The sequence below is a fragment of the Homo sapiens genome, chromosome 10 (assembly GCF_000001405.40).
Source record: "Homo sapiens chromosome 10, GRCh38.p14 Primary Assembly".
NCBI classification, from domain to species: domain Eukaryota; kingdom Metazoa; phylum Chordata; class Mammalia; order Primates; family Hominidae; genus Homo; species Homo sapiens.
The window spans coordinates 95,097,369-95,103,531 of NC_000010.11; the positions used below are offsets into that span (position 1 = coordinate 95,097,369).

General features: G+C 32.9%; 1 annotated feature.

Annotated features, from left to right (window-relative positions):
* Positions 444 to 738: an enhancer, noted in NCBI's record as "tiled region #2936; HepG2 Activating DNase matched - State 8:EnhW". NCBI's record gives its function as "activates a minimal TATA promoter and a strong SV40 promoter by Sharpr-MPRA in HepG2 cells {active_cell/tissue: HepG2}" and the evidence as "EXISTENCE:reporter gene assay evidence [ECO:0000049][PMID:27701403]".

The following is a 6,163-nucleotide window of genomic DNA, read 5'->3' on the forward strand; positions in this document are numbered from 1 at the left end:
GGCCTCTAACTGAATCCAAGTCAGTTAAGGATTAAATTTAATCTGAATTTTAATTTAATCCAGTTTTTGTTGTGACTGTTAAACCCAGCTTGGATTAAAAATGTGTTCAAACACAGATAGCTCAAAATGCAAATCTGTAGAGCTTTGTAATCCAAGAGAGAATTTAACCACAATCCCCAGTAGCTGTGAGAAAGTAATGGACATGAATCAACATGGCAGGTACCTCATTTGGTCATTTGATGTTTTGGGGGTCACTAAAATACCTACTTTGGATCCCACTTCAGACAACATTTGTTAAAATTAAAACCTACAGGCAAATTATATTTAACAAAGTTTAACTAGGCAAATAATATTTGTAAATTGGGCAGCTGCTTAAGCTAGAATAGCTTCAGAGCAACTCTGTACTCCCATGTAGTCAGAGGGGATTTATGGACAGAAAAAGAGAAGTGATGTACAAGAAATGGAAGTGAAGTGCAGAAATAGCTAGATTGGTTACAGCTTAGCAGTTGTCTTATTTGAACATAGTTGGAACATTTGGTTGCCTTTGATTAGCTGAAACTTGGTAACTGGTACAAGAGTAGGTTACAGTTTGTTTACATGTTCAGGCAGGTCAGAGTCCACTATCTATAGAGAAACCTTTGGACTGACATTAAAACGTGTAAACAGATACCTGTAGGCTAAACTTGACTTATCACAGGTCACTTGTGTTTTGGAACACCTACTTGAATTTTCCATTTTCAGGGCAGTTTGCATGAGACAGTACCTGACTTACTTAGAAAAGCCAAAGGGAGAATGCTCTGTTCATAAATGACACTCCTTCAACCTTCTTCCCTATGCATGCAACTGTGACTCTGATCATGCCTTTTCCTGGAAGGAAAATCACATGAAAACCTAAGAAGAGGCATAATTTGGGCACATAAAATCCACATAACTATTTTACAACTTGGAGGAAATTGTCCTTTCTCAAAATTATTTTTACCATTCATTTCAAAATTATCTGTGGGTGGGGGGTGGTAGTCAATCATACCCTCTTCCCACTTTTCTGCTTTAACTGGGGATATGATTATTTGTCTTCATGGAGGTATAAGTACACCATCCTTTATCTGAAATCCCTGGAGCCCAATATGTTTTCTAATTCAGAATGGTTTGACTTTAAATATATATTGTTATATTTTCTACAGATTTTGGAAACTTCCAGTAATGTGGATGATAAAATATAATCAAACATTTTGATATTTCTTTAGAAAAATATTAGTAATTACACAAAGATGGATGAGTAAGGGACATAAATGGATTCATTTCACTTCACTTAAAGTCTTGGCCATCAAATAAAATTACAAATAACTTAATTCGCTTTTAATTTTTCAGGATTTTAGTATTACAGATTGAGGATGAAGGATTTCTAACCCTGCATTACTGAAAAAAAAACTTAGATCTGCATTGTCCAACACAGTAGCCATAATGATTCATGGTTATTTAATTTAAATTTAAAGTAATTACAAGTAAAGGCAGTTTTAAATTCAGTTGTTCAGTTGCATTAATCACATTTGTAGTACTTAATACGTACCTGTGGCTAGTGGCTTCCATATGGCACAACACAGATATTCAGAATTCCTTCTTACCCAGATGACAGTAGTAATTTCAACCTCAGCAAACTCACAATCCATTTTTTCTTTCAAACTAGAATTTTAGTTATCTTTTTAAAATTTATATTTATTTATTTATTTATCTATTTATAGATGGAGGCTTGCTTTGTTGCCCAGGCTGGAGTGCAGTGGCACAATCACTGCTCCCTGCAACCTCTGCCTCCCCGTTATCTCATTTTTAAAATAATACTAGTCATATGTGCTGGCTTCAAGTGAAATGGAGTAGCTATTAGAGTAGCAACTAAAAGTCTGATTAAACACAGAAACTGTGGGTTAGAAGATTGGAGAACTTTTGAGCTAAAAATTAGTCTCAGGGATCCATAGATGGGAGAACCTCAGAGGTCAGCTGATGGCTACAGTCAATGTTGGATGTTGTTCATATCTAATTCTGGGTGAAGGCAGGAGGTGTTAAATAATTCTATCTGCCTAGTGTGAGAGGGATGAACCCTTACTGGAAGAAGATAAACCTCACTGGAAACTCTGCATTTTTTTATATGTAACTACTGGCACTTAACCAAGGCTTACTAGGCATGGCAAAGATAGAAATAAATGAACAGATAAAGAATAGAGAAGGAAAAAAGGCAATAAAAAATAAATGCAAATCAAAACCACAATGAGATACCATCTCACACCAGTTAGAATGGCGATCATTAAAAAGTCAGGAAACAACAGGTGCTGGAGAGAATGTGGAGAAATAGGAACACTTTTACACTGTTGGTGGGACTGTAAACTAGTTCAACCATTGTGGAAGTCAGTGTGGCGATTCCTCAGGGATCTAGAACTAGAAATACCATTTGACCCAGCCATCCCATTACTGGGTATATACCCAAAGGACTATAAATCATGCTGCTATAAAGACACATGCACACGTATGTCTATTGGGGCACTATTCACAATAGCAAAGACTTGGAACCAACCCAAATGTCCAACAATGATAGACTGGATTAAGAAAATGTGGCACATATACACCATGGAATACTATGCAGCCATAAAAAATGATGAGTTCATGTCCTTTGTAGGGACATGGATGAAATTGGAAATCATCATTCTCAGTAAACTATCGCAAGGACAAAAAACCAAACACCGAATGTTCTCACTCATAGATGGGAATTGAACAATGAGAACACATGGACACAGGAAGGGGAACATCATACTCTGGGTACTGTTGTGGGGTGGGGGGAGGGGGGAGGGATAGCATTAGGAGATATACCTAATGTTAGATGACAAGTTAATGGGTGCAGCACAGCAGCATGGCACATGTATACATATATAACTAACCTGCACATTGTGCACATGTACCCTAAAACTTAAAGTATTATAATAATAATAATAATAAAAAGAAAAAAACAGAGAAGGAAAAAAGGCAATAAAAATATGTTTACACTAGGGAGCATTCCCTATATTATTTTAAGAGAGCAACATTTACCTTAATATGATTAAGCATATATTACCTTAATATCAGAAAACTGACAATAAAATTTTGATGAGTAAAATTAGCAGACCAATGTTTCTTATAAATATAAATACAAATATCCTCAACTAAATATAGCAAATCAAATATAACTGTGTCTCTATGTGTATTTTCATTAATGCATATTAATATACGTTATGTATACCACATATATAGGCAGGTCAAAATAAATGGCCATATTAATAGATTTAAAAAGAAAAATAAATATTGGCAAAGATGTAAAGAATAGAAAATTCATACACTGTTGTTAGTATTGTAAATTAGCACAACCATTTTTGAAAGCAATATGGAGGTTTCTCAGAAAACTAAACATAGAATTATCACATAATCCACCAATCCCACTACTGGGTTTATACCCAAAGAAAATAAAATCAGCATGTGAAAGTGATATCCTCACTTTCATGCTCATAGCAGCATTATTCACAATAGCCAAAATATCGGAACAACCTAAGTGTCCATCAACAGATGAATGAATGAAGACATGTGGTATATATACACAATGGAATGCTACTCAATCTTTAAAAAATCCAGAACATTCTGTTATTTGTGACAACATGGATGAACCTAGAGGACATTATGTTAAGTGAAATAAGGCAGACACAATGAGGCAGATACTATAAGATCTCACATATAGGTAGAATCTAAAAAAGTCAAACTCATGGAAATAGTGAGTAGAATGATGGTGACTAGAGTCTTTGGAGAAGGGGTGGATAGGGAAAGGGGAGTCATCAGCAAATAGCCACAAAGTTACAGTTAGATAGGCGAAATAAGTTGTAGTGTTCTACTGCACAGAAATGTGACTATAATTAGCAATAATATCTATTTCAAAATAGATAAAAGCTTAACAGTTTTCATCCCAAAGAAATAAATGTTTGAGATGATAGATATAATAATCATTCCCATTTGATAATTCTATAATGTATACCTGTATCAAAATATCACTTTATACCCCATAAATATATACAATTGTTGTCAACTAAAAATGAAATAAAATTTGAACAAACGGAATCCACTTGATCAAATTATACATATTCATGACAAAAAAAATTAAAATAAGAGAGACAATTGCCTAAATCTGATAAAAAAAATTTACCAAACTATACATTAAACACCATTTTCAATTGTGAGATATTAAACCTCCACTCTCTCCTAGAGATTAGAAATATAACAAGGCTCCCCACTATCATGATTTATATTCAACACTGTCCTTACCAGTGAAATAATGCAATACAGATAAATTAAAGTTATGACCATTACAGAATAAGAAATAAACATTAAATCAGATCACAGAATTGTGTACATAGAAATTACAAATGCATCAAGAAAAAGATTATTGTCAATGATAACTAAAATTAGCAAAGTTGCTAGATATGAGGTCATAAACATAATAAGGTAATTATATTTCCTTGTACCAGAAAAAAAGAAATAAGAAGGCATTTTGTAATGCACACTATTTATAATAACATCAAAAATATCATTTGCTTAAGGAAAAAACCTAACAGATGTACAAGTCACTGCACTTAAAACTAAAGATTACTAAGAAAATTAAAAAAGCCGTAACAAATTGGAAGCATAATCAGATTCATGAATTAAAAAATTCAACATGTCAAGAAATCAATTCTTTTAAAATTGACCTACAAAGTTAATGTCACCCTGATAAAAATAACAGAAGAGTGTTTTGGGGAAATTAACAAAGAGATACCATTAGAAATTATTTGGAAATGTAAGCACCTAAGAGTAACCAAAAACTTATTAAGTAAGCAGAACAAATTTGGAAGACACACTTTGTCAGCTTTCAAGACAATAAAATGTGACAATTTGAAATATTGACTACAGGGGATCATTAACATACCCAAAGTACTTTTTATCGTATTCAATGTTCTATGCCAAGATTATTTTATTAATGTTCTTATAATTTCTGAGTGATATGTGGAACTTCCAATATTGTGTAATCAACTCTACTGAGACACACCAATCCTTTCCACATTTATACTTGCTAGACATACAAAATCATCCTCAATTGTAACATCAACTTCATACACTTTTCTAAATTTGTCAACTCAAAATTATTTTTAGGCCAAAGGAGAGTAGAACATTTATAAGCCAATGTTAATATTTCCATTAATGGAAGTGAATTTGATGAATCAGTGGTTGTATAAAGACAGTCCATCAAGATTAAGCTAGCCTATAGAAAATATTGTTGAAAGAAATTAAAGAAGATCTAAGTAAAGGGAAAGATATCCCACATTCATCTATTGGAAGGTTTAACATTGTTAAGATGATACTACTTCCTAAATAAATCTACAGATTGAATACAATCCATAACCATATCCCTCCTACCTTCTTTGCAGAAATTGACAGGGTTGTCCTAAAATTTATATGGAAATATAAGTAACCCAAATTGTTGAGAACCAAAAAAATTGTGGAAAAAACAACATTGAAGGAATAACACTTCTCAACATCAAAATTTACAGCAAAGATGATTGGGTGTAGTGGCGTACAAAGAAAGATTTATAGATCAATGGGATAGGATTGAGAATCCAAAAATAAACCCTCACATGTATAGCCAATTGATTTTCAACAAATGTGCCAAGATTCTTCATTAGGACAAAAGTATTCTTTTCAATGAATGGCGCTAAGACAACTAGATATCCGTGTGCAAAAGAATAAATTTGGACACATAACTCACACTAGAATGAAAAATTGACTCAGAATGAGATTATAGACATAAATGCAAGAGTTAAAACTATAAAACTCTTAGAAGAAAACTTGGAATGAATCGTTATGATCCCGGATTAGGCAACTGTTTCTTAAATATGATACCAAAACTACAAGCAACCAAAGAAATCAGTATATTAGGTTTTATAAAAATTAGAAACCTTTTGTATGTCAAAGAGCACTGGCAAGAAAAGAGAAGATAACCCACAGGATGGGAGAAAATATCTTCAAATTATGTATCTGATAAGAGACTTGTATCAAGAATATATAAGAACTTTTCCAACTCAATAACTTAAAAAATTATAATGATGCAATTAAAAATGCAAAG